Here is a 27,556-nt window from a genome sequence, read left to right as displayed (position 1 = left end):
TTGAAGGCAATAAGATGTTTCATCATCAAACAGCACACAACAATTAAATGACAGGGTGCAGCAGCACAGCAGCCTTAAAGGCATTTTCGCAATGTCCAGATCTCAAAGGGTAATGCTGCGCCCGCATCAATTTATGGGAAGAGTCTAGAGTTCACCTACATCTTTTGAACTCCACTAAGCCGGCCGATTCTGATTTCCCTTGTTGCCTCCCTGCAATCCCCACGAATTTGGCCAGGGCACCCGGGCGGCTCAGGCCCAACGGGGCGTGGGCCGTGTGCTCAACCACCCAGAAGCTGGGGGCCCCCTCCCCTTTCTTATCTTTCTGGCATTCATCTCACGCGGCCACCTACAGCTACGACTTCCTCAGGCCCTTTAAGGGCCGCTTCTCGGAGCGCAGGGAGCCGCGGAGTCCGGGGCGTGGGAGACTTCCATGGGCGGAGCGAGGGCAGGAGTGGGCGGGCCGTAGGCGGAGCTCCGTCCGCGCCCTCCCGGCGCACCGCCTGCGGGGCGGTGACTGGCCCAGCCGCACCGCGTCTCCCGCCTTCTCCGCAGCCCCGCAGGCCCCGGGCCCTGTCATTCCCAGCGCTGCCCTGTCTTGCGTTCCAGTGTTCCAGCTTCTGCGAGATGACCCTCAAGGCGAGCGAGGGCGAGAGTGGGGGCAGCATGCACACGGCGCTCTCCGACCTCTACCTGGAGCATTTGCTGCAGAAGCGTAGTCGGCCAGAGGTGAGCGGGCCCCGCTAGTCCCAAGGGCGCTGGGCCGGGGCTCGGCCATTCATCTCGGGACTTTCCCTGTCCCGGTCCCTGTCCCCGGGGGGCCTGTCCTTGCGGGTCCTGGCCATAGGTCGGAGACCGCGATAGCCGGCGGGGTGAGGACAAGGCCAGCGCGCGGCCGGGTTCGTACCGGGCTGCTGGTGCAGTGGATCCTTGCCCCCAGCAGTCCTTCCAGTTGGAAATCAGGAGAGGCAGCGGCCTGGACAGTGCGCTTATTAAGGGCAAGGAAAACTTCCTCGTGGACGGAAGTCAGAGTAACAGAAAGTCTTTAAGGAACACATCAAGGAGTAGGTCTGCCTGGTTGTTGTTGAAGTGCTTGTGTTTGGGTCAGCAGAAATGATTGTAAAAGCCAGCTTCTGGTTCTAAAGAGCTCACTCACTGTTCCTCTTCATTTAGGCAGGTCCCCTTGTGCTATGGTGCAAAGAGGGTGGCCAGTGTATATTTGCGGGTGGAACAAGGAATCCAGATTCCAGGGATGGATGGCTGGTAAATAGCTATTAACCTCCGTCCTCAAAGATGCCCTAAGGGTAGGTTGTGCTTATCTGTTACTGGCAAATCTCTCCCAAACTCGCTGGTTTACAACACTGAGCATTTTCTTGTCTCTCATATTTCGTTTTGATTGGGCCCAGCAAGGTGGTCGTCACTCAGGGTCTGTCAGGTGGGGACACGGCTCACTTACTCATTTGGAGCCATGAGCCATGAGCCAGAAAATCAACCAGCAGCCTCTCCCTGTGGCTTGGTCTTCCTCACAGCATGCTGGCCAGGTCCCAAGGGGAAAATGTCCAGAGAGAACCAGAGAGCCAGGCAGAAGCTCAGAAGTCACAGCATGAACCTCCTTCCTAGACTGCAAGGTCTTCTAGGGCAGGGCCGTGTCATACTCACTTCTTTAAGTGCCCAATAAGTGGGTCCTCAGAAATGTTTGCTAAATTAATAAATGACTGAAGAGATGGACATTTGGGATTTACAGTAACCCTCCGATTTCACAGATGAAAAAACTGAAGGTCCCTGCAACATAAGGCAAGCAGTAGAGCTGTAGACTCTTTGGGCTAAGTGGCATTAACTCAAGGAAACAAGTAATGGGCATCAGAACTGAGGCTAGATTTTGTGTCTGCTGCACCGCATTGCCTTACCCTTTATATTCCACTCGAGTGAGGCATTCACACCTGCCTGTCATTTCAAATCAGGATTGCAACAGCCTGAGTTTAAATGAGTGCAGAAATAATACAGGCATGAAAGATGCTATTGTTATACAGATGATGAGACAAAATTACAAGTTCTGTTACCTGATTCCCCATAAACTTGGACTTGTGATTTTTTTCTTCCCCACAATCAGTACTCACTTGGCTGAGCCTCAACTATTTTTAAAAAATCTATTTATTTCTGGAAGTCTTATTGAGGTACACTTAGCATACAGTAGAATTCATGAAATTTAATTGTGTAGTTTGATGACATTTGACAGATGTATATAGTCATGTAACGACAACCACAATCATGACAAAGAATAAACATTTTCAAGGTTCCAGGAAGTTCCCCTGTGACCCTTGGCAGTCAGTCACCTTCCTCCACCTGGAACATGGCAACCACTGATCTGTCACTATAGATTTGCCTTTTCTGGAATTTTATATAAATAGAATCCTACAGTATGATGTATTTTGTGTCGGGGTTCTTATGTAAACCTATGTGTTCCCTTATGGGCATGCTTGAAAGACTGTGCCTTTTTGAAAAGAGGCCCTGTCACCACCAGTGTTATGTTGTGGGCACAACCTCTGAGTAAACAGCACGTTTTGTGGGGCTGTGAGTTTATACTGTAATATTGGAGATAGTCTACCAGTTAGCTAATTTGTTTGGTTTTTACTAACGGATTTGAAGAAGATCAAATAAGAAAACTTACTGAATCCCTGAATGAAATAGTATCCAGCTGTGCCAAAGTGAGCATCTGAGGGAGACTCTTCACACGATGAAGTGTGGCTTGACTCCACAACCTGCGGATTCTTATTTCTTTAGGTTCACCTTCCCTTTGGGGCTCTTACCAGTCTTTGCTGCAGCAGCAAGCTCTGCCTTTCACTTGCTGCATGGTTTTGGGCAAGCTGCTGAAGCTCTCTGTGCCTTAGGTTTCTCTCCTTTATGAAACTGGCAAGTTTGGAAGGTTGTGGCAACATTTACATGAGATAATGCTTGACAAGGACCTTGAGCCACACTGGGACATCCAGGGTAATGACCCAGTATCTCCCTAGGAGCTGCCTGCCCAGTAGTAGCAGTCAGAAAGTTTTCCTATAATGGCAAGATTTGAAGCAGGAAAACCTGTGAGGAAGTTGTTGGCTTCAATAGAAATTATAAAATTATTTTGCTGAAAGTTTCATTTAAAGGTGTCACTTTATGGAAAAAGGCTACCGATTCAAAACAAAGTTTCACTTCCAATTATAATCCACATTTAATACTGAAAGAATATTGTCTAAAGGTAATTTTGCAATAGGTTTGAATGTAGCCTATCTCCCCTATTTAAGTATATCTCCTTCCTTGGATAAACTAATTTTTTTTTTCTTTTCAATGTGGTCTAGGCAGGTTAATGGAGAAACTAATTTTATTAGCTCTCTCTGGCCTTGTTCTTCACAGCAGTATCCATTAATGCACATAAAAGTAGTTGTAAAATTCCCAATACTGCTTTTCTCTTCGGGCCTGTTTGAAGCAACACTTTCCCCAGGACCTGAAGCAATTGGTTGAGAATCCCTGAAAATTCTCTTGGGCCTATCCCACATCAAAAAAAAATCACCTAACAGATAAGTCAGGCTCCAGGCAAATTTCCACCAAGAAAACCTGTTTCTTGGTTCTTAGGCCATCACATGCAGCATTACTCCCCGCTGGTGGTCACTGAGTGTGACGCAGTGTTGTTTGTTGCCTACTCCAGGTCTGCTGCTGGAACTAAGAGGCAAATAAGGAAGGACGCAGACATGGAAACAAATACAGTAGTGTGGTGGTGATGTGATAGAAGCAGCTGTGGAGCGCTGTGGAGCAAGGAGGGGCACCCAGCACAGTGGGCTCTTGCATTTCGCAGTACCTAGGCTGTAACTGGCAGGTGGTACCTGGGCAGAGGGAACAGCCTGTGCACGGACACCAAGGTGCATGCCGAGTGCGGCACCTTCTGCGATGGCAGGAGGTTGAGTCTACGGTGTGCATGATCACTGACTCTGCTTCTGACTAGTTATAATTTCACCTGAGAAAGAACTTTCGCTGCAGACTTGGATCTTGCTGTTTCCTTTGCAAAGGAAATGGTTCCGTTCAAGGCTTTTCTTTTCACAGAACTGATACTAGAAAGTAAAGTGTAATTTTCAAATTATTTAGTCCTCTGCCCAATTTCCCCAGTATGTGGTGTGGTCTCAGCCAGTCTGCCTTTCCTGTCCTTCACTTCCAGGAACTTCATGACTTTTTTCTGTTTTTTGTTTTTTTTTTTTTTTTTTTTTTTTTTTTGAGACAGAGTTTTGCTCTGTCACCCAGGCTGGAGTGTAGGGGTGTGGTCTTGGCTCACTGCAACCTCTGCCTCCTAGGTTCAAGCGATTCTCCTGCCTCAGTCTCCCAGCTAGCTGGGATTACAGGCGCCTGCCAACACGCCTGGCTAATTTTTGTATTTTTGATAGAGACAGGTTTTCGCCATGTTGGCCGGGCTGGTCTCGAACTCCTGATCTCAGGTGATCCGCCTGCCTCGGCCTCCCAAAGTGCTGGGATTACAGGTATGATCCAGCGCCCTGGGCCTTTCATGACTTTTTTTTCAAAACTGGAAGGGCTTAGGATACCTTGCAGATAAGAATCTGCTTTTATTGTGGCTAAGCAGATTTGAGTTTCATCATGAACGTTCTATTCTTTTCTAACTCATTTGTTCTCCCTACACAAGACACTGAAGTATAATAGAATACCAGGAACAGATATTTCAGGTTAAGATCAATTCCCTTAAATTGGAGTTTGCCAACCTGGGCACTGTTAACACTTTGGGTCTGATAATTCTGTTGTAAAAAGTAATACCTCGCCGCTAAGTTGTGACAATCAATAATGTCCTGAGACAGTGTCAAGAGGGGAGACAAAATTAGTTGATGCAGAGATTTTTCTCCTAAGCAGTGAGTTGTCTCTAACCTTTCAGTGTTGCTAAAAAAGAACTCTGGGTGTGGAGTGTAGAAAGGCAAGACTAAATAGCCATATTTCCAAAATTGGCTGGGGTAGGGGAAGTGACGCCAGAGGAGGGGAAGAGGAACTTTCGTAACATAGTCTTGCTTTTCTTTTTTTCTTTCATATGAAGAAATATACATGAACAAAACACATAATAGGTTTTCCCTCAAAAGTTATCTTCCTTGCGAGGCCTTTTCTGCTTTATTTTCCTCCTTAGCACCTGCCATCATCTCTGAATATTCTGCACAGTGCAGAGGCAGCCTTTATGTGAGGGACACAGCACCTGCATTCTCTCCATGTACCTGCACAAACTCCAAAGTCCATGCTTATAGTTTAACTTCTGGAGTCTGAGGCTTACTCATCCTTTAAGCTCAGACAGGTTTCTGAACCATTTCATGTCTTCAAATATTGACCACAGAATGGGGATGAGCATTTGATTTAACGAGTGTTGTTATTTGCACACAGCTCCGGCACTGGTTTAATGGCAGTGTGGGGACTCAGTGCCAGGTATCTGCAGCCCTGTGTTTCTGCTGTGTGGAACGGTGCTACTTGAGTTTCCTGTTGTTTTTTTTCCCCAGTGGAAGCAAAAGCCTTTGCATGTGTACTGAGAGCATGGGGTAGAAAAAGCTCGTTGGGAAGGGATCTCTAGAGACTTGGCCTTTAGGTTGATGTATGTGTTCCCAGATGGATTTAGTACCTGAGAAGCAAAGCACCTGGTTAATGTATGATTTTAAGACAGTACCTGCCAGAATATCCTGGCTCTTAGGCCTTCCTCTCTCCCTAGTTCCTGTCATTTGTGGTTAAACAGTGCTAATCTCTTTCTAATACTTCAGAATACCCTTGGCTTTCTCAGTTTCTCTTGTTTTTTCCCAAAGTGGAATAGGATACTGCCCATGCAAAGAGAGGGAATTTGCGAGCACCTGGGGCCAGGGCTTGCTGGGCAGCTGTCTGGCATCATCTCGCCTTCTTGGACTTGGCTTTCTAAGTCTCCACGTGGGAGCAGTTGGCAAAGAGCCTAACAGTAGGCTGAGCAAATATTTGTTCTTTCCTATGTTCACTGTCACTTAATCTAATTGTTTGGATTAGAAAGCCAACTTCAGTTGCCCCTGCTCTATTCACCCCCGCCACCGCCCGCCCCCCGCCAAGTTTGTTTTTCATCTCTTTTTAAATTCCAGCTTCCTTTGAGCAACTGCCTCTGCCCTTTGAACCCTGCTGCAGATGTTTCCTCTGAAGGGGCTTTCAGAGCGGCAGGCATTGCCACTCCAGCACTTTGTCTGATTAAAGGCCAGAGGCTGCAGAACAAAGGCCAGACATGGAGTCCTGGGTGAGTGTTTATTCCCTGGCTCCTCCTGAATCCCAGCAGTCATCCTTAACAGAGCCACTTCCGCCCTGCCTTGTCACTGGTCAGGGGCAGGCCTGCCATAGCTCTGTGGCCTCCTATATCCACTACAGATGATGGTGGCTGCTTTGAGAGGATGATGTGGAGGTTGTGAACTGAACTCTGAGAAATAGAATCTAGTACCTTTGACCTTTATTATTTGTTCAGCATTACTCATGTCACTGACAGTATATGTCTGCATATCTTTTCTCCTATGATGTGTCAGTAATGAGGAGACATGGGGACTAGTTGAAGGAGTTCTGTAAGATGAGGTCACAGAGAGCTGACCCTCCCTTTCTGAGAGTCTCATGAAGACAGGGTGGCTCAGGGACAAGTTCACGGTGGAGAAAATTGTGCTTTGCTTTTGGAAAACTTACTGTTGCAAGTGTGTACTTTAGTTACCACGTTGGAAGTTTCCGTTTTTCTTAGTCATCATTTGCAACTTCTGGGTAAGCGTGATAGTGACTCTTAGTCATCGTAAAGAGGAACGTCTTGTTGGATAAGCACATCTGAAAGACCAACCTTTGGGATGGCAACTCTTGAACTTTTCCAGCTGGAATGGTTCTGCCTCTAGTAAGCTTTGCTGAGTCTTTAATTTAAAGGCTGACATGTAAAAAGCAATCACTGTAATAAAGCTGGATAAGAAGAATATGACATAGCTAGGCATGGTGGCTCACACCTGTAATCCCAGCACTTTGGGAGGCCGAGGCGGGCGGATCACCTGAGGTTGGGAGTTCAAGACCAGCCTGGCCAATGCGGAGAAACCCCATCTCTACAAAAAATACAAAATTAGCCGGGCGTGGTGGTGCATGCCTGTAATCTCAGCTACTCGGGAGGCTGAGGCAGGAGAATCGCTTGAATCCAGGAGGCGGAAGTTGTGGTGAGCCGAGATCGTGCCATTGCACTCCAGCCTGGGCAATAAGAGTGAAAGTCTGTCTCAAAAAAATAAAATAAATAAAATAAAATAAAATTCCTCTAGCCACCACCACAATGAAGATAGAGAACTGTTCCATCCCCACAAAGGCCTCTCTCCTGCTGTCGCTTTATAGTCACACTTGTCTTCCTCCCTACCCCATCCCCGCAACTCCTTGCAGTCACTACTCTGTTCAATGTCTCTATGATTTTGTCATTTTAGGAATGTTATATAAGTGGAATCATATAGTATGTGATGTTTTGAAATAGATTAGCTTTCTTTCAGTCAGGATAATGCCTTTGAGCTGGATCCCAAGTTGTTTTAGTATCAATAGTGTTTTTTGTTTTAATTGCTGAGAAGTGTTCCATGGTATGGATGTACCACGCTTTAACTGTTCACCTGTATTTTGGTTCTTTATAGATTTTGGCTGTTATAAATAAAGCTGTTATGAGCATTCATGTACAGGCTTTTGAGTGAACATAAATTTCCATTTCTCTAGGTGAATATCCAGGAGTGTCATCCCTGGGTTTTATGGTAGTTGTGTGTTTGGTTTTTTAATAAAGTGTTCAACTATTTTCTATGGAAGCCATATCACTTACATTCCCACCAGCAATGTATGAGATGCCCAATTTTCCCTCAGCTTCACCAGTTATGAGTATTGTCACTATTTTTTTATTTCAGCTATTCTGATAGATGTGTAGTGATATATCATTGTTGTTTTAATTTGCATTTCTCCCTGATGGCTAATGATGTTGAATATCTTTTTATATCCTCATTTGCCATCTTTATATATCCTCTTTGGTGAAATATCTGTTCATGTTTTTTGCCCATTTTCTAATTAGATTGTTCGTTTTTACTGTTGAGTATTGAGCACTCTCTTTTTATATTCTATATACCAGTCTTTTATTGGATATGTGGTTTGTAAATGTTTCTCCCGGTCTGTAGCTTGTATTTTCACAATCTTCATGTGGGCTTTCACAGAACAAGAGTTTTTCATTTTGATGAGGTCCAATTTACCAATTTTTCCTTTAATGGATTCTGCTTTTGATGTCATGTATAGGAACTTTTTGCCTAGCTCTAGATCCTGACAAGTTTCTTCTATTTTTTTCAAATATATTTTCTAGTTTTGCACTTTACATGTAAGTCCATATCCATTTTAGAAGGTAAGGTTCAGGTCAGCATTTCCCTTTTTGGTGATGAGTTTCCAATTGCTGCAGCACCATTGAGTTGCTTTTGCATCTTTGTTAAAAATCAACTGGGCATATCTCTGTGGGTCTGTTTCTGGGTTCCCTATCCTGTTCCCTTGATCTGCATGTCTATACCACATAGTCTTTACTGAGACTATACTACAGTAAGTTTTGAAACTGTGCAGACTGAGTCTTCCTACTCTCTTGTTTTTCAAAATTATTTTAGCTTTTCATGGGTCTGTACCTTTCCATCATGTATACGTGCTTTTAGTGTAACCTACATGGACCAAGTGAGTGAAAGCACTCGTGTATGAGAAAAATAACACCCCAGATATAGGGTGATCGGTAGCCAACACTGGCTTCTGGCTGAGGCATCAGTAAGGAATGTGAGAGCTGGGGCCACCTGGAGAGCGATGCCAGATCTTCTGATACTTTAAAAAGAAGTTGGAGTCCCCTGATTTTTACTAAACAAAACAGAGACATGTGGTCGAAATAAAACAGTTTGCAACTTCTGCTTTGGAGATTTTTTCTTTTCTTTTTCCAGAGATAGAGTCTCGCTCTGTTGCCCAGGCTAGAGTACAGTGGTGCTATCATAGCTCACTGCAGCCTTGACCTCCTGGGCTCAAATGATCCTCCTGCCTCAGCCTCACGAGTAGCTAGGACTACAGGCACATGCCACCACACCTGGCTTGGAACTTTATGTAATGCATTCACTCCTTCATTTATTGTCCAACCAATGCAGATCCTACTTCTTGACTCCCCACTTTGTAACAGAACAAGATTACAGGCCTCTTCCTTTCGATTTTTCTCCCCTTTTTACCTGCCAACTTCCTATCATGGACATGTGTACCTTAATATTGTCATGGTGCTGATATTTACAGTCTGTTATTTGTTTCATGATTTGTTTCTAAGTGAGTTCTAAAAAGTAAAAATCAATAAGTGGTTTTTAGATTATTATAACTGGTTGCCAATCCAACATCCCACTTCTCACTTACATATCCCTGATCTTGTTTGGGATGGCAAGATGCTCAACTAAACTAATCTTCCCAGCCTCTTTGGCTGGTGCCTCCTGTATGCACATTCTAGGCTCTAGCTGTCTCAACTCTCCTTGGTCATTCCTCCATCTGCTTTCTGTCTTCTGGAAAGCTATTGAAATCTTGGCCGGGCATGGTGGCTCATGCCTGTAATCCCAGCAGATTTGGGAGGCCGAGGCAGGTGGATCACTTGCGGTCAGGAGTTCCAGACCAGTCTGGCCAACATGGTAAAACCCCGTCTCTACTAAAAATACAAAAATTAGCCAGGTGTGGTGGCGCTTGCCTGTAATCCCAGCTACTCGGGAGGCTGAGGCAGGAGAATCGCTTGAACCCAGGAGGCGGAGGTTGCAGTGAGCCGAGATCACGCCACTGCACTCTAGACTGGGTGACAGAGTGAGACTCTTTCTCAAAAAAAGAAAAAAGAAAAGAAAAGAAAAGGAAAAAAAACAAAGAGAAAGAAATCCTTCAACCCTGATGACTTTTTGTGGGTTTCTATTTCCCTCCTCCCGTTTACTCTTACTTAAACAGGGTCAAGGTTGAGGCAGGACAAGATCCACACAAGTACTTGAACCTGAGTCCCAATCACTTTGGAAAATTCTTTTACTAATTTATTTTATTAAAGTAACACAAGCACATAATACATAATTTAAAAGGTATAACTTGATACACAGTGAAAACAATTTCCTTCTCACCCCATCTTATAGCCACCCAGTTCCTCTCCCTAGAAGCAACCACTGTTTCTTATGTCTCCTTCCAGACATAGTTTATGTATTTTCATTTATTTTATTTTTTGAGACAGGGTCTCACTCTGTCACCCAGGCTAGAGTGCAGTGGTGTAATCACAACTCACTGCAGCCTTGACCTCCCGGGCTCAAGCAATCCTTCTGCCTCAGCTTCCCGAGTAGCTAGGATTACAGGTGCACGCCACCATGCCCGGCTAATTTTTTTATTTTTTGTAGAGACGAGGTTTTACTATGTTGCCTAGGCTGGTCTCGAACCCCTGACCTCAGGTGATCCTCCCACCTCAGCCTCCCAAAGTGCTGGGATTACAGGTGTGAGCCACTGAACCTGGCCAGTTTATGGATTTTTAAGCAAATATGAATATAATCATTCTTTCACTGTTTATGATGAAGCTAGTATACCCTTCATCACATTATTATTATTTTTTGCTTAACAATAAATCTTCAAGATCACCCTCAGAACCTCCTTTTCCTACCTACATGGTGTATCCCGGGTATCATAAGTCAATTTTTTAAATATAAGCCTATCTTAGACAATTTTGTTATAACAGCAATGCCATATGACTTGGTGTCATGTGAGTTTTTTGAAGTTCTAGTTGCTAGAGAAGGCAGTTTCTCTTTCTCAGTACTTCCCTCATTTGAGGTCACCTGATAGCGAATACTACTTCAAACCTCACCATGTTTTTTGTTTGTTTGTTTGTTTGTTTGTTTTTCTGAGACAGGGTCTTCCTCTGTTGCCCAGGTTGGAGTGTAGTGGTGTGATCATGGCTCACTGCTGCCTCCAACTCCTGAGCTCAAGCAATCCCCCTGCCTCAGCCTCCTGAGTAGCTGGGACCACAGGCTTGCACCACCACACTCAGCTAATTTTAAAATTTCTTACAGAGGCAGGAGTTTCACCATGTTGCCCAGGCTGGTCTCAAACTCCTGGGCTTAAGCGATCTCCCCACCTTGGCCTCCCAAAGTGCTGGGATTACAGGTGTTAGCCACTGCACCTGGCCCAAACCTCACCATCTTATCAAAGTTTCTACTTAGAAATCAGAGTCCCTTAGAAATGATGTAAGCCTCTACTCCAGACTTCCTTCTCTCTCATCTTCTAGTCCTTTTCTAGGCCTTGGGCAGGCCAGTGGACACTGCTCAGGCATACCATCTATTCCCATCTAGGGACCCTTCTCCTTCCCCACACAGTGAATGGCACACTCCTCACAGTTCTGCCTATTGGGAAGATCTTCCCTCCCTACTGTCTTTGAGGGTCACCTCTGGGTGTGACTGGAATGCAGCTATCCCCTATTTTCAGCAGACCCTTCCATAAGCCCACTTCAGGCCTATTCCTCCTCCTCGTCCTCCTCCTCCTCCTCCAGGTGGCTATATCATTTTTGATTTAATATTTTATCTGGGGTGGGCAGGGAGCATTTTCAGAGGTTTCCATAGTTTTTCCCCATTGTGATTGCTCTTACCCAGATCAGTAAGATGAGGAAAGAACAGCAAAGCAAACTGAGAAGGAGCATTTTAAGGAGAAGAGAGTGATCACCTGTGAGACTGATCCACAGGTGATCTACCATGGAGTGGTGTAGCAGTAGCCATTCATTGCCATTGATGTAGGGTATCCACTTGGATATGCTTCAGTTTATCCATTCTACTGTTGATGGACTTTTGGGCTATTTTCAGGTTTGGGCTTTTAAGAGTAGTGTTGTTCTGGAAAGGGCACACCACTACTTTCCTGGAATTCCTGCCAAAAATGCAAAATCCCAGTCTAATCTTGAAAAAACATCAGATGATAACCCCAAACTGAGAGACATCTACAAAATAACAGGTGTGTACTCTTCAAGAATGTCAAGGTCATGAAAGAAGAAAAAGAAAGGCTGAGGAAATTTTCCAAATTAAGGAAGAGTAAGGAAATGTGAAATGCATGATTGGATTCTGGTCTTAGATTGGATTCTGGGACCAAAAAGTCCTAGGTTGGATTCTGGACTGGGGAAGAAATATATAGCTATAAAGGACATTCTTGAAAGGGTTGGCAGATGACAATATTGTGTCAATGTTAAATTTTCAGTTTTGAAAATGCTCGTTCCTAACATATAGAGACATCTATGGGTAAAGGAGAATGAAGTCTTCAGATTACTCTCAAATGGTTCAAAAATTAAATTTTATAATATTTTTTAAAGAGTACTGGCTGCTCTTGGAATGGCGCCAAAAAGATGAAAGAATTTTATAGTGACACCCATATAGCCACACCTCCTAGATTCTACAGTTAACATGTTGCTGTGTTTGCTTTATCACATTTCTATCCAAAAACTGCCCATCTATCCACCTTCTTTTTCCTGGTATTTCAAAATAAGTTTCAGATATCAGAGCACTTTACCCCTGAAAGCTTCAGCATGCATATCATTGGCTCAAGTTCAGGATTTGTTTATGGTTCTTTTCATCCTGTTATTAAATTGTAAGAGTTCTTTATATGTTCTGGATACAAATCCTTTGTCAGATGTAAATATTGCAAATGTTTATTCTCAGGCTGTGTCATACCTGTCTAGTTTCTTATGTAAGATGTTTGAATTTGATGAAGTCAGTTGTTTGCTTGTATGATGATTGCTCCGTGTCTCGTCTACTAAATCTATGCTTATCTCAGTGGAGTTTTTTGATGAATAGACTTCTTACTTTTAAAGTGTTTGTCTTTTTAGTTTTCATTTTATACTCGGGACCTTTTATGACATTTATCGTGCAGACCATTTTTCCCCGCTGCACTGCAGTGTCACCTGACTATAAATGTGTGGCTCTGTTTTTGCACTCTCTGTTCCATTACATGGGTCGTTTGTCTTTCTTCTTACCACAGTGCCTTAAATTACTTTAGATTTATAATAAAGAGGCCTTGCTGCCTGGTAGAGTAACTCATTTAGCTTTGCTGTCTTTGAGATCAGGGGAAGAAGTCACAGTGGCAATGTATTATTGTTATCACCGCGGTTCGGGGCCCAGTCCTAAGTGCCTAATTCTACAGGTAGAAGTTCTTTGTAGCCTAAGGGGTGATTCATGAGAAACTGATGCTAACCTGAATTACCTTTATTGCTGTGTGACCGAGAGCATCAGGTTGTTCAAGGAAATACAAAGGAGAAGAGAACATGCCAGAAACCCTTGGAGCCTGAGGTGCCGCAGGATTCAGAATCTTTCTAATTTTGTTATATATTATGTAATACCCCAAGCAGGATCCAGGAGAGCACCATGTAAATCAAGGCACATTAATATTTCTGCAGCAACCTAGATAAACATGTCTATTTTATTTATTTTTAGAGACAGGGTCTCACTCTGTTGCCCTGGGACTGTAGCTGGGACTACAGGTGCACACCACCACACTTGGCTGACATGTCTATTAAGTTGGAGAAATAAAGCTTACAAACAGCTTCATGTCAATTCAAATAAGAATGAGGCCAAACTTATGAAATAAGTTTTCAGAGCCTCTTGAATGTTAGAATTGCAGATTGTGGACTGGCTGTGGGCCTTGCTCCTGATTTCATACGTTGCTTTGTTGTTTTGGCTTGGCAGGCTGTATCGCATCCATTGAATACTGTGACCGAGGACATGTACACCAACGGGTCTCCTGCCCCAGGTAGCCCTGCCCAGGTCAAGGGACAGGAGGTGCGGAAAGTGCGACTCATACAGTTTGAGAAGGTCACAGAAGAGCCCATGGTAATCCCCCGTCATATTGTCGCCCACCAGTTACTCTCTGCCCCATGAGTCACTGGGCCAGAAGAGTCAATGCAAGAGGCTGCTCATGGAGTTAGGGAATTGGCCAACCCCAAAATTGTCTTTTCATTCTTATCTCAAATTCCTCCTCAAAGCAGGCTTCATGCCTGTTCTAGTTGAGGACTATCCTGGGTATAAATGGAAAATATTTTCCTGAGAAATTACCGTAAGTTCTTTCTAAAATAACCTCAGAAAGAGCTTAAAATAAAGCTTATTGTGCCGTCGCCTTTATTTCAGGGAATCACGCTGAAGCTGAATGAAAAACAGTCCTGTACGGTGGCCAGAATTCTTCATGGTGGCATGATCCATAGACAAGGTACTCTGTGGGAGCTCTGGGTGGGGTTTGATTCAGGGATTAATAATTTACTCCCTGTTCAGTGGTGTGGGGCATGAAGCTTATAATCCTCCAAACTGGTAGCATTTTTGTGAGTGTGCCAAGAGACTTTTTGTGGCTTAATAACTGGCTCTGTAGAATCAGTACATGATAAGATCTCTATGTGAATTGCCCAGTGCCACCATCTCCCTATCTGAGCCTTCTTTCACACCTATTTATACCAATATTTTTCTAGTAAGTTAATATTTGAGCAATTGCCACATGCCACCCATTGCATTAGACTTGGAAAGGACAGCAGTACCACTTGGTAGCATTTTGGGGTTTGAGCTAAACAACAAAGAAACATGGAGCTTGCTGGTGAAAGAGGAGTACTGAGTTCTTTGCCTTGCTTTGTTATTCTTTTTAGTGTATACATCTGTGTCATAGTCTGGAGTCAGTAGCCACTCTAGTTCCAGGAATTTGAGGACAAGGTGTTTTATTGTGCTGTTGGACTACTGAGGCCAAGGAGGATGAGACCATCTTAAACTGTCAAGTCAAATGTTTTCAATCCTGAGTATTTGACACAATCTGTTTCATAACATGCTGTAAATCCTGGTTTCTCTTCTATGGTATCTTGAGTTACATTGACAGCTCCTGTTTGAACTTTTGTTCTTTTGTGGATTGATTTTTCATTTCATGGCAGGCTCCCTTCACGTGGGGGATGAGATCCTAGAAATCAATGGCACAAATGTGACAAATCATTCAGTGGATCAGCTGCAGAAGGCGATGGTGGGTATTTTCTATGCTAGATGAAGACCTTCCATTGTCTCCATAAGTGTTGATCCACATTGGTATCAGTGACCTCATCTCTCTGTCAAAGTATTTGTACCTTCTTGAGGGGGCTCTTTTCACTGCTAGTCTTTAATCTGTGTAAGAAATGATAATTTTCTGCCTTTATTTAGTAAAATTCTAAAGCAGGGCAAATAACCCAGAGCATCAATCTGGTGTTCCATGAAGTAATGCCAAATGAAGTAAAGCAAGCTATAACGTATATAGTAGAATCCCATTTTTGTTAAAAACAAACAATACATATGTATGCATAATGTATGTAAATATTTGTAATGCTTTTGTTGGTATGGGGAAAGGCGTGGATATATATGCGCCATAGTTCATTTTTAGGAACTTCTTCAGGACTTTTTGGGGTAAAGAATGGGGAAGAAAAGTCTTTTTTTTTTTTTTTTGAGATGGAGTTTCGCTCTGTCACCCAGGCTGGAGTACAATGGCGTGATCTCGGCTCACTGCAACCTCCGCCTCCTGGGTTCAAGCGATTCTCCTGCCTCAACCTCCCAAGTAGCTGGGATTACAGGTACCCACCATCACGCTGGCTAATTTTTGTATTTTTAGTAGAGACAGGGTTTCACCATGTTGGCCAGGCTAGTCTTGAACTCCTGACCTCAGACGATGCGCCCACCTCAGCCTCCCAAAGAGCTGGGATTACAACAGGCGTGAGCCACCGTGCCCAGCTCGGAAAAGTCTTTAGTTAGCTTTTCTTTGTTACTCTTTGCATGTCTTCATATTGTTATGCTGATTTATGGGGCACATGACACTTTTGTATTAAAGGAGGAATTGTCCTACAAAATCTCAAAATGTAAAGATGGTTGTTGGGGAAAAAAACCTGGGACTTTGAATGAATGATCACATCATTCAACTTAGTTTTCTGTACAATTTTATGTCCATTTTTTTTAATAGAAAGAAACCAAAGGAATGATCTCATTAAAAGTAATTCCCAACCAGCAAAGCCGTCTTCCTGCACTACAGGTGGGTGGCACCATTTTCTCTGTTGTCATGATGGCAGGAGTCGGGCCATGTTGTCTTATATTCTTTGAAATTTGATTATAAGGGATGTGAGTCTAACTTTAAGTTCTAAGTATCTCGCAAGTGTGTAGCTGCTTGGCTCAGGGTCCCATTATTCCCTGCCTGGTATAAAATACAGGAGCTCATTCCCCTTTCCTCAATGGAGAACATAGTGACGACAGGAGTAGAGAATGAATGAGCCTTTGCTGCTAGTGGTCAGGTAGGAAGGGAGAGGGTAATTTTATTCTACAGATGGTAAGGAATCAATACAGCTCCAAGAGGAAAATGGGTAAAGGGAATGAAGAGATCATTCACAGGAGGAAAACTACAAATGAGCATTGAACATATGAAAAAATATTTTATCTTACCGATCATCAAAGAAATGCAAATTAAAATATGCATGAGACACCAGTTTTCACCAAGCAAATTGGCAAATACTTTTTAAAATAGCAATAATAAAGCCCCGTGATTGATAGTGGCAAAGTAAAGAAAGAAACAAAAGATAGATAGAATCTGTTGAGCACTTATTCACAATTTATTGAGGGTCTACCATGTACAAAGTACTGTGCTAGAACATGGAGGTGATATAAAGAGAAATGGTTCCCAGTTCACACATAGCTCATCAGCCAGTAGAGGAATAGATTGGACAGGGCCATGGCAAGTCAATGTGGAAGAAGGAGATATTTAAAAGAATAAATCTGAAGTTTCTATTGCAGGTTACTTGTAGTGTGACGGTATAATTTTCTTAAGTAAACTTTTAAATTGCAGTTTTGGCATATATGGGCATATATTCAACAAAGGGCACAAATCACAAGTATAAAACTGGATGAATTTTCACAAACTGAGTACACCCATGCCTAAGACCGCCGCCCCCTCACCATGCGTGTTTCCTCAAGGCCCACCATAACCCTGACTTCTAACAGCAGGGATGAGTTTTGCCCCCTTTTGAAATGTATTAACGTTGAATTATACAGTATGAATTCTTTGGTGTCTTATTTTATTCGCTCAGTATTATGTTTATGGGAATCATCTATATTGCTTCATTCTCATTCATTCATTGTATGAACATGCTACAATTTAATCTATTCTGTCAGCTTTTTTGGTCTTACATTGAATGGCTGCCATTCACCAAACAGGATCTAATTCAGCAATATGAGAAGATTTACTGCCTGAAGGGCAATAAATTCACCACGTTAACAGAAAAATGGAGAAAAATCATATGATTTTTGTGCATGTGTTTTGTGGATACATCTATGCCTTTCTTTTGAGAGTAGAATTGCCAGGTTGTAGGATATATGTGTCTTCATCTTTAGGTGATATTGCCAAATAGTATTCCAAAGTTGGTGAACCATGTTACATCCCCAACTGCACAGTATGACAGTTCTGGTTGTTCTGTATTCTCACCAATACTTAGCATTGTCTGATTTGTTGGGTTTTTTTTCACCCTTTGGCCATCCTGATGGTGGTATCACATTGTGATTCTAAAAATTCTCTAATGACTAATGAGGGTAAACTCCTTTTTATATGTTTTTTTCCACTTGGATATCCTCTTTTGTAAGATACCAATTCAAGGCTTTTCTTACTGATTTGTAGCAGTTCCTCATATATTCTGGATAAGAGTCCTTTGTCATATGCATCCCAAGTATGTTCTCTTCTTCTGTGGCTTATTTTCTTCATGGTTCCTGTTAATGACTAGAAACTCTTAATTTTAATGAAATCCAATCTACCACTTTTTTCTGATTAGCACTTTTTATGTCTTGTTTTAAAAGTTTTTACTTACCACAAGGTCAACAAGATATTCTCCTGTGTTTTCTTCTAAATGCTTACTTGTTTGATTTTTCACATTTGGATCCACAACCCATCTGGGATTGATTGTTATATACATTGTAAGGTAAGAGGTCAAGATTCCAGTTTTTCCATATGGATACCAATTGAACCAGTATCATTTACTGTACACTGTCACTTTTGTCATGGTAATATTTACAGGTCTATTTTGGAACTTTTTATTCTTTTCTTTTGGACTGTTTGTTTATCCCTGTGTCAAACCTACATATCAGTTTGGATAAAAGAGGCATCTTCACAGTATCCCAGTGGAAGTGATGATAGCAGACATCTTTGTTTATTTTTCCATCTTAAAGGGAAAGCTGGCCAGGTGTGGTGGCATGCGCCTGTAATCCTAGCACTTTGGGAGGCCGAGGCGGGTGGATTGCTTGAGCCCAGGAGTTCGAGACCAACCTGGGTAACATAGCAAGACCCATGTCCTTTGAAAAAGGCAGGGAAAGCTTTTAATCTTTCACTGAGAAGTATGACGTTGGATGTAGGGTTTCTGTAGGTATTCTTTCTCACAGTAAAGAACCTCCCTTCTATTCCAAGTTTGCTAAGAATTTTAATCTTGAATGGGTTTTGAATGTTATCACAGGCTTTTTCTGCATCTATTGAGGGGATCATATGATCTTTTTCCATTTTTATGTTAACGTGGTGAATTTATTGCCCTTCAGGTAGTAAACCTTCTTATATTGCTGAACTAGATCCTGTTTGGTTGTGATTTATTATACTTTTTATACATAACTAAATTTGACTTGCTGATATTTTGTTTGGGGTTTTTACATCTCTGTTGCAGAGAGAAATTATAAGATTCTTGTCAGATTTGGGTATCATGCTTATAATGAGTTGGGAAGTGCCATCATTTTCTATAATCTGTTTTCGTATGAGATTAGCCTTCTTTCTTCAAATGATGCTTGGAAAATTTGTCAATGAAGTAATGAGGTAGGTGTGTGTGTGTGTGTGTGTGTGTGTGTGTGTGTGTGTGTGTGTGTTTGGGAGCAGGAGAGGAGAATTTTCAATAATAAATTCAAGTTCTTTGATAGATATGAGTGTCCATATTTTCAATTGTGAAAACAGTTGTTCAAAGAGTAGCTGCCCTGTACTGAGACAGACGACCCAGATCCAGCAGTAACTGTGGACACGTTGACGTGGAAAGATATCTCATGCCTTCTTTTTTTTTTTTTTTTTTTTTTTTTTTGAGACGGAGTCTCACTCTGTCGCCCAGGCTGGAGTGCAGTGGCACAATCTCGGCTCACTGCAAGCTCCACCTCCCGGGTTCAAGCGATTCTCCCGCCTCAGCCTCCCGAGTAGCTGGGACTACAGGTGCACGCCACCACACCCAGCTAATTTTTGTATTTTTAGTAGAGACGGAGTTTCACCATGTTAGCCAGGCTGGTCTCCAACTCCTAGCCTCATGTGTTCCACCCGCCTCGGCCTCCCAAAGTGCTGGGATTACAGGCGTGAGCCACTGCGCCTGGCTTCTCATGCCTTCTTGTTAAAGGGATTCATTCTGACCCCTCCGCAAACACAATCACTTCAGCGTTTCAATTTCTCTTTCTTGGGTGCTCCCCCACCATTCTTACCTCCCTGTTGTTCATTCCATCCTGACCCCATTTGTCTACAGCAGGACATGCTCTGATGCTGGTGTTTCTTTTGAAGCTGCCGCCTGCAGTTCCTTTTACCTTCTTTTTAGATGTTCATGAGAGCGCAGTTTGACTATGATCCCAAAAAGGACAATCTGATCCCTTGCAAGGAGGCGGGACTGAAGTTTGCTACTGGGGACATTATCCAGATTATCAACAAGGATGACAGCAATTGGTGGCAGGGACGGGTGGAAGGCTCCTCCAAGGAGTCAGCAGGATTGATCCCTTCCCCTGAGCTGCAGGAATGGTGAGCCATTTTTGTGCAGGTGGAAGGGCCATGTGCCTGCCACAAATAACTTAGCTTCAGAAAATCTGTCATTTTGTTTGTAGTTTCTGTTTCTCAACCAAGGAGACCTCCTAGATTTCCTGGCATAATGGGTGGGGGAGGGTTAACCATGCGTTGATAAGCTGGACTGAGAGGCAACCACAGGCAAGGGAGCCCAAATAGCTCTTCATTCTTATGTGGGCCTCTTGCTTCCTTAAACGTTTTCCCCATAGTTACCAAGCACGTGACAGTGCTGGGACTGAGCCCTCCCTGGTCTCCTGTTTCCCAAGCTAGTGCGCTTCTACCAGCCATGCTGTTTCTGGGATTTCCTTGGAGTCCTGCAGAAAACAGTCGCATTTAAGTATGTGTCCTTTAGGCACATTCCTGGTACATGGAAGAAATAATTCCTGTCCCCGAGTCAGATTGCTCACTTAGTCCTGGTTACATCATAGGAATGGCAGAAAAATTCACAAAACAGTTCCAACTGATAAGACATCCAACACTGAGCCTCCCTCTGCCTGTGCAAACTTACCCCAGTGTAAAGATTACAACCATTGTGGGGTTGACACTGAATAGAAATATTAGAATATATTACATGTAGTAATACAAGTTATTGTTTTGTGAAGCAGTTGTTTTAGATATATATGTGGGGTGTGTGTATGTGTTTTGTTTATAGATGTATGTGCAATAATGGCTTGCAATGTACAGTGTATTTCTTAGAGTGAGGTAGGGTCATAAAGGTTTGAGACCTTTATGGTCTAGACCAAAGAAAGAGAGTTGTTTGTGGGTTGTGTCCAGAATGTGCTGACAGGTACTAGATGACACAGACTCAAGGAGCCAGGTCCCTGACTGAGGGCAGGGCACAGTGCAAGATGCACCAAACAGTGTATGGGGTGCTTTGCACACATTATCTCCCACTGTAATGGACACTCAGAGAGTGAAGGGGGTGCCATTAGAGACTGAGTGGCTGGGGGGGGTATGAGGGGAGGGGGAGGAAAGCTGACCCCTTGATTGTCTTTTCCTACCAGGCGAGTGGCAAGTATGGCTCAGTCAGCTCCTAGCGAAGCCCCGAGCTGCAGTCCCTTTGGGAAGAAGAAGAAGTACAAAGACAAATATCTGGCCAAGCACAGCTCGAGTAAGCTTTCTGAGCCTTCTTGCCCCAGGTTCCTGGCAGCATTCACGTGTTTCCCAGTCTCTGTAACCAGCAGAAAAGGGGAGGTGGTGCAGTGCGCAGCAGAAGGCGCATTCTACAGAAAGCATGTCATTTCTTCTGGTTTCTTTTTATTGAATCCATCTTCACAAGCTTGCTGCAGTCAGGCCAGTGGATGTAAAGGAGGACTAGTGGTGAGCCCACACCTGCTCATCACCCCACCCCTCACACAGAAGTAGATGTGGTGGGAGAGGGGAAGTGAGGCAAGAACACAGGCCAGAGGGAGAGGCCAGGGCCAGGTCATAGGGAGCTTCGTGCACCCTCCCTAGCGTTTTAAATTTTGCACTATAGACTGTGGAGCTGGTGAAGGGTTTTGAGCAGAGAATTCGCACGGTCAGCTTTCCATCTGCATTTCTCTTTTCTGAGACGTCACGTGCACACCACCAGCCAGGGAATGATCGTGGCAGTCTTGGGTTGTAGGCAGGTAAGGGGGTGGAGAGTCAGGATGACACCAGGTCTCTATCTTGAGCAGCTGGGTCAATAGCACCACCATCTTCTAAGATAAGGGACATTCAGGCAGAACCGAGATAGCATTGGCATTCTTCAGCTCTAAGTGCCAAGGGAACATCTGATACTGAAACTATGGAGAAGAGATGAGGACAGGAGACAAGAAAAGTTGGCTCAGAGAGATAGGGCAAGGAGGAAGAGAGGGTGCAAAAGTTAGATAAACTCCCTTGCTCAAAATTCCCTCACCACACTAAAAATACAGTCCAAAGTCCTTCCTCCACACCAACCTCCCTCGTCTCATCTCTAGTCACTTCCTCCCTGCTTGTTGAGATGTCGCGAGGCTGTTTCCCATTTCAGAGTGTGGACCACTGTTCTCCCTAGCTCTGGAAATGAACACTGCTTGGTTTTCTTTGTCTCTAGTTTTTGATCAGTTGGATGTTGTTTCCTACGAGGAAGTCGTTCGGCTCCCTGCATTCAAGAGGAAGACCCTGGTGCTGATCGGTATCTTCTCATTGCCCCATTTGCACATTTCTGTCTTTGTTTTCCTGCCTGCATCACGTGCCCACCCCCAAAAAAGGCAGTGAGGAAGAAAAGAACTGAGGTCTCTTGGGTTCTCCATATAGAGCAGGTGTAAGGAATTTTCTGAATCCTCACGTGCACCCCACCTGGGTCCACCTCACAAATGAAACTAAACCTTACAAGTTTCTCTACTATTTAGCAACGAATTATTTTTGGTTAGGTTTCATGCTGTCTGCTGGCAGTGATACGCTTTGTAAATCTCCCTTCCCCCAAGCAGTGACTCTGACCTGAAACAGAGTAAGTCCTTGCTTCAAACCCAGGTATGTAGGCTTTGCCTCTGGCGGACTGCTCACCTTCCTGTCTTTAGAGTTGACCCCAGCCCAGATGCAACCCCAACTCATGTTCACCTGTTGGCAGTTTTGAGTGCCGAGAGAGGAAAATCCGTATCTTATCCTCGCTCCTCTCCCCCCTTTCCAAAAGATGTTCTTCTCTCTCTACACAGGAGCCAGTGGGGTGGGTCGCAGCCACATTAAGAATGCCCTGCTCAGCCAGAATCCGGAGAAGTTTGTGTACCCTGTCCCATGTAAGTAGCTCTTAGGCACCTTGGAGGGGAGGTGACAGGCTGGTACCACTCGCCATCTGAAATACCATAGTGTTATTTTATTATTTTTTAAATTATTTTATTTTAAATGATTATTAAAACTAAACAAAATATGGAAAGATAAAAATTTGTGCCCACAATTCCTCCACCTAACAGAATAACTGTTTTCTTATTGTTATTCGTGCTGTTTGTCTACATAACAGAAGCTATAGTAAACATTTTGATACTGCCTTAAAAATTACTAAGTATTAAAGTTTATACATATAACTTTGTCATTTTACTTTTTAAACATTTTCTCATGTTCCTCTGCAATTTGCCTAATTCTCTTTGAGAACTATCCCACTCTTGATGTTCAGGCTGCCTCTCATTTTCATGGAATGTCTTCTAAATCAAAGCAGTGCCTAGGAAAGGCCCAAACGATCTCAACAGCAGTCCTAGATATGGAGAAGAGTAGCGCCAGTGATCAGGTGGAGAATTTGATAACTCTTCCATTCCCAGAAGTGATGCTGCATGGTATAGTTGTGTATGTTCCCAGAAAGAAATACGGTGATTCCTCACTTAATATTGTCAATAGGCTCTTCGAAGACTGTGACTTTAAGTGAAATGACATATAACAAGAACCAGTTTTTTTACTCATCAACAATACAATGAAATGAAGTTGAACTAAACCATGTTAGTCAACGACCAGCTGCATGTGATTTCACTTAAAGTCACATTTTCTAAGAACCTACTGATAATAATATTAAGTGAGGAATTACTGTACTGCTAAGCAAAATAGAAAACCAGATTCTAAACCTCATATTACTATTTTTTAATTCTTTCTTCATTTTGCTTTTTTACACATGGATCATTGAGAGTTGTCTCGTTGCTGGAGGGACATAAGAGTTATTCCAGTGTCACATTAGGAGCAGAAAGAGATGGCCCCAGGAGTGAGTGGGGAAGCAGAAATAACCAGTACAGGCTCCTCCTTCAAGAGAATCACATGTGGTTGTAGATTGAGGGGAAGGGGCCAGTTGAGAGACAAGTGTGATCCGGAAGGCAAAGGAGACAGTCAATGGAAGATGGAAAGAGGGGAGGTTGGGAGGATTGTGTTTCAAGCTACAATATCTGGAGCATATTTTACTGATTAGACAATTTATATGAGTAATAGAAAATAGTCCAACTTTTAACAACATGAGCTGAAACTAAACCAAAGTACTCTTCTTTCCAAGTCATGAAAAGGAAACCTTAAATATATTTCCAAGAAATCCTGACCATAGTCTGTAGATCTGTTTTTAAAATATTTTCCGCTATCTTCATTTCTAAGTTTCAATATTCCTAGATTTGGTAGTTTGAGAGATGTAACTTCATTTAGGGAAAATGATAATAGGAATTTTCTATGTTAGGCTTTGCCCCTTAAAAATTAAATGTGTCCTGGGCAGATGGAGGGATTTCCTGGTGTGCATCACTTTCTAGCATCAGCTCTTCAGGAGCCCACGGGAGGAACCCCTGTATTAAAGTCAATGCACCAAAGGCAGCTAGGGTTTCCATACAGACACCATGGTCCAAGCCCTCATGAAAGGGTGAGGACCTGGAGTTTGTCGGGGATTTGGGTTCTTGTACACAGATACAACACGGCCGCCAAGGAAGAGTGAGGAAGATGGGAAGGAGTACCACTTTATCTCAACGGAGGAGATGACGAGGAACATCTCTGCCAATGAGTTCTTGGAGTTTGGCAGCTACCAAGGCAACATGTTTGGCACCAAATTTGAAACAGTGCACCAGATCCATAAGCAGAACAAGATTGCCATCCTTGACATTGAGCCCCAGGTGGGTAGGCATGGAAGGGCAGGGACAGATGGGCTCAGCCACACAAGGGATGGCGAAGACAGTGCTCCTTGGGAATCTTCTGGGGGCTCAGGATTGCTTCAGCCTTTTAATGGGGTCAGCCTGGAACAAGAACAGTAGTACTGGGAATGATGGAAAGTTGTATTGGGGTAAAGCTCAAAGCTGCTTATTAGAAGGAATCCATTATGACAGCTATGTAGGTTTTTTTTTTTCACTTTCCTTTTCTTCCTTCCCCCCCCTCCCCGCCGCCCTTCTTTTTTTTTTCTAGACCCTGAAAATTGTTCGGACAGCAGAACTTTCGCCTTTCATTGTGTTCATTGCACCTACTGACCAGGGCACTCAGGTGAGGAGAGGTTGTGCGCGATGGGTAGTTCACTTTCTCCGGGCCTGCCCATACTGGGACCTCAGTCCAGGTCATTGGCCAGAGTGCTGGCTGGAGGTCACAGCTCCAGCTGGGCTTCTTCCTCCAGGGCCAAGAAGCCAAAGGGTATGCACATTCGTTCCAGCTCTTAAGCCACTAGCTAGGCCAGTGCCCATGCTACCTAACAGGGACAAAACAAACCAGACCCAGTCATCGTCCTGGAGGCACACAGTTCCAGGGGCAGAGATGGACAGTTGAGCAGATCCTGATACTGGTGGGATGCAGGCTCTGGCAGGGGAAGCTGTGATGGACAGAGGTGGCACTGAACCCGCCCTGGGGTGCAGTATGGCTGTGGGGAAAGACAGAGAGGCCAGGAATATATCAAAAAGCCTACCCTGCTCCTCTGCCCAGCCCTACCCATGCACTTTGCTGCACTGTGCTTTTGCATTGAACAATGGACACCTTTCCCTATCAGGGTGTGAGGAACTCTTTTTCTCTATAGCTGCTTGGTCTTCTGCTGCATGCATGTGTAATACTGCAGTCAATAGCCCTGTGCATATAGCACATGTGTGCAAATATATCTGTAGGAAAAACTCCAAGTAGGATCACTGGGTCCAAGAGCACACACACTTAGAATTTGGACAGGGACCGCCAACCACCTGTGAGACTGCTTGTTTCTCTTTGCCTGCAGCATGTTGTCAAAATTTTCTTTTTTTGCCAGTCTACTGGAGGGAAAAATAGTATCTCATATTTCTTTTTTACTAAAAGAGATGATCAGGTACTTTTTCATATGAAGAGCAATTTGTATTGCCTTTTCTGAGAATTATCTGGTCATACCCTTAGCTCATTTTTCTGCTGAGTTATTGACCTTTGATTTATAGGAAGTCTATATTAGGGTAATTAGCCCTTTGTAATATCAGCTGCAATTTTTTTCCAATTTGGCATGTCTTTTTGCTATGCAGACATTTTTACTTTTATGTAGTTACATGATTTGTCTTTCATGGCTGCTTGGTTTTAGGTCAAAGACAGAGTCCTGAGATATATATACACACACATTTTTAAATTTTGTTTTTTGTAGAAATGGGGTCTCACTGTGTTGCCAGGCTGGTCTTGAACTCCTGTGCTCAAGCAATCATCCTGCCTTGGCCTTCCAAAGTGCTGGGATTACAGGTGTGATCTGGGATTAGAAGTCACCTTTATCTGACTGGGTGCAGTGGCTCACACCTGTAATCCCAGCACTTTGAGAGGCCGAGGCGGGCGGATCACCTGAGGTCTAAAGTTCCAGACCAGCCTGGCCAACATGGCAAAACCCTGTCTCTACTAAAAATACAAAAATTAGCCAGATGTGGTGGCGCATGCCTGTAATCCCAGCTACTCGGGAGGCTGAGACACGAGAATTGCTTGAACCCGGGAGGCGGAGGTTGCAGTGAGCCGAGATTGTGCCACTGCACTCCAGCCTGGGCCACAGAGCAAGACACTGTCTCAAAACAAAACAAAACAACAAAATCACCTTTATCTTCGTTTTAGGATTGCAGCTCTGGTGGTTGTTGAAATGGCTCTTCCATGTTCAAAGGGCATTAAGTGGGAGATGCTGGTGAAGTCCATGCTGTCTCTGCATAGCTATTGGTCCTCCAGAGGACTCTGATTAGTCAGGGTTAGCTTGAGATCCTCTGAGAATTGCCATGGTCTTTTGAGATTGCCTCTTCATGCCCTACATTAACATTCTTTCACAATGTCTTCTGAATTTGACTCGTCAAGTATGATGCACAGCTGAGCAACGCTAACAATTGCTGTTTAAAATCTGTCACTGGCCTCTCTGGGCTGGGGGTGGTGCAGCTTGCTTCATCTGTGGCTTTCTTCTTTGCAGACAGAAGCCCTGCAGCAGCTGCAGAAGGACTCTGAGGCCATCCGCAGCCAGTACGCTCACTACTTTGACCTCTCACTGGTCAATAATGGTGTTGATGAAACCCTTAAGAAATTACAAGAAGCCTTCGACCAAGCGTGCAGTTCTCCACAGTGGGTGCCTGTCTCCTGGGTTTACTAAGCTTGTAGAATGGGGGAACCCACTGTATGCCCCTCTCCAGCATTTGGAATTCCACCCGCCTTGCTTTAAGACAAACAGGGCTGCTCCAACTAGTTTTGTGTCAGCTTCCAGCTCTCTGCAGCTATCCTAATTCAGCCAGTAAGGTTCAGTCTTCTTGCTCAGGCTCCTGAAGGGTTGATTCTCCTGATAGATGGGGCCCCACTGATCTGGATTTGAAAAGGATTTCTAGAAATTGGGGGTAAGAAGTACTACCAAAATGTAACTGCTAATCAAGGGTGATGCACAGCAAAAGCAATGGACCCCATCCCTCTAAAGCCTGCCCTCCTTTGCCTTCAACTGTATATGCTGGGTATTTCATTTGTCTTTTTATTTTGGAGAAAGCGTTTTTAACTGCAACTTTCTATAATGCCAAAATGACACATCTGTGCAATAGAATGATGTCTGCTCTAGGGAAACCTTCAAAAGCAATAAAAATGCTGTGTTGAAATGCCAATGACCTTGTAACTCTGGGTTTCCACACAAAAAGAAATGTGGCCCATTTCACTTAAGCTCCTGGACAACAGCATTAACACAAGATGCCTCTCTTGTGTTCAGATGATAAACACTGGTGCCCTGGAAGAGTCCCCATTCTCTGCCCCCACTGCAGGGCTCTACTGGCTAGTGCCCATGTAGAAAAACACCCTTAAGGTTGTTGTAGCTAGTGGAGCGCTCATTGTGGGCACATATTTAGAACGA

The 27,556-nt window shown here is 43.7% G+C and overlaps 1 protein-coding gene across 9 annotated transcripts, besides 1 other annotated feature; it reads left to right on the top strand.

The window, feature by feature from the left end:
• Positions 389 to 548: a silencer, noted in NCBI's record as "silent region_21119". NCBI's record gives its function as "represses an Ori minimal core promoter by ATAC-STARR-seq in GM12878 lymphoblastoid cells {active_cell/tissue: GM12878}" and the evidence as "EXISTENCE:reporter gene assay evidence [ECO:0000049][PMID:35858748]".
• Positions 513 to 27,314, top strand: MPP1 (MAGUK p55 scaffold protein 1). 9 transcript variants are annotated; one of them, NM_001166462.2, is made up of 13 exons: positions 513 to 726; positions 6,105 to 6,253; positions 13,713 to 13,856; positions 14,151 to 14,229; positions 14,930 to 15,015; positions 15,976 to 16,044; positions 19,598 to 19,794; positions 20,841 to 20,947; positions 21,890 to 21,970; positions 22,491 to 22,571; positions 24,196 to 24,398; positions 24,685 to 24,759; positions 26,645 to 27,314. In NM_001166462.2, the coding sequence occupies exons 2-13, from the start codon at positions 6,242 to 6,244 to the stop codon at positions 26,819 to 26,821; spliced, it is 1,311 nt and encodes a 436-aa protein (NP_001159934.1). In that variant the 5' UTR covers positions 513 to 726; positions 6,105 to 6,241; the 3' UTR covers positions 26,822 to 27,314. The 9 variants fall into 9 exon arrangements, with proteins under 9 accessions (NP_001159934.1, XP_047298079.1, NP_001159932.1 ...); XM_047442123.1 differs by lacking the exon at positions 6,105 to 6,253 and adding an exon at positions 1,171 to 1,301; NM_001166460.2 differs by lacking the exon at positions 6,105 to 6,253 and having other exon boundaries at positions 13,713 to 13,805.

The sequence above is a fragment of the Homo sapiens genome, chromosome X (genome assembly GCF_000001405.40).
Source record: "Homo sapiens chromosome X, GRCh38.p14 Primary Assembly".
NCBI lineage: Eukaryota > Metazoa > Chordata > Mammalia > Primates > Hominidae > Homo > Homo sapiens.
The sequence above is the reverse complement of the archived record's forward strand: the minus strand, read 5'-3'. Positions and strand labels throughout refer to the sequence as shown.

Coding starts and splice junctions, on each gene's coding strand:
- MPP1 (NM_002436.4), top strand. CDS start 625: ATGACCCTCAAGGCGAGCGAGGGCGAGAGTGGGGGCAGCATGCACACG. Junction 15,016..15,975: donor ATCAGCTGCAGAAGGCGATG/GTGGGTATTTTC, acceptor TTTTTTTAATAG/AAAGAAACCAAAGGAATGAT. Junction 22,572..24,195: donor GTTTGTGTACCCTGTCCCAT/GTAAGTAGCTCT, acceptor TCTTGTACACAG/ATACAACACGGCCGCCAAGG.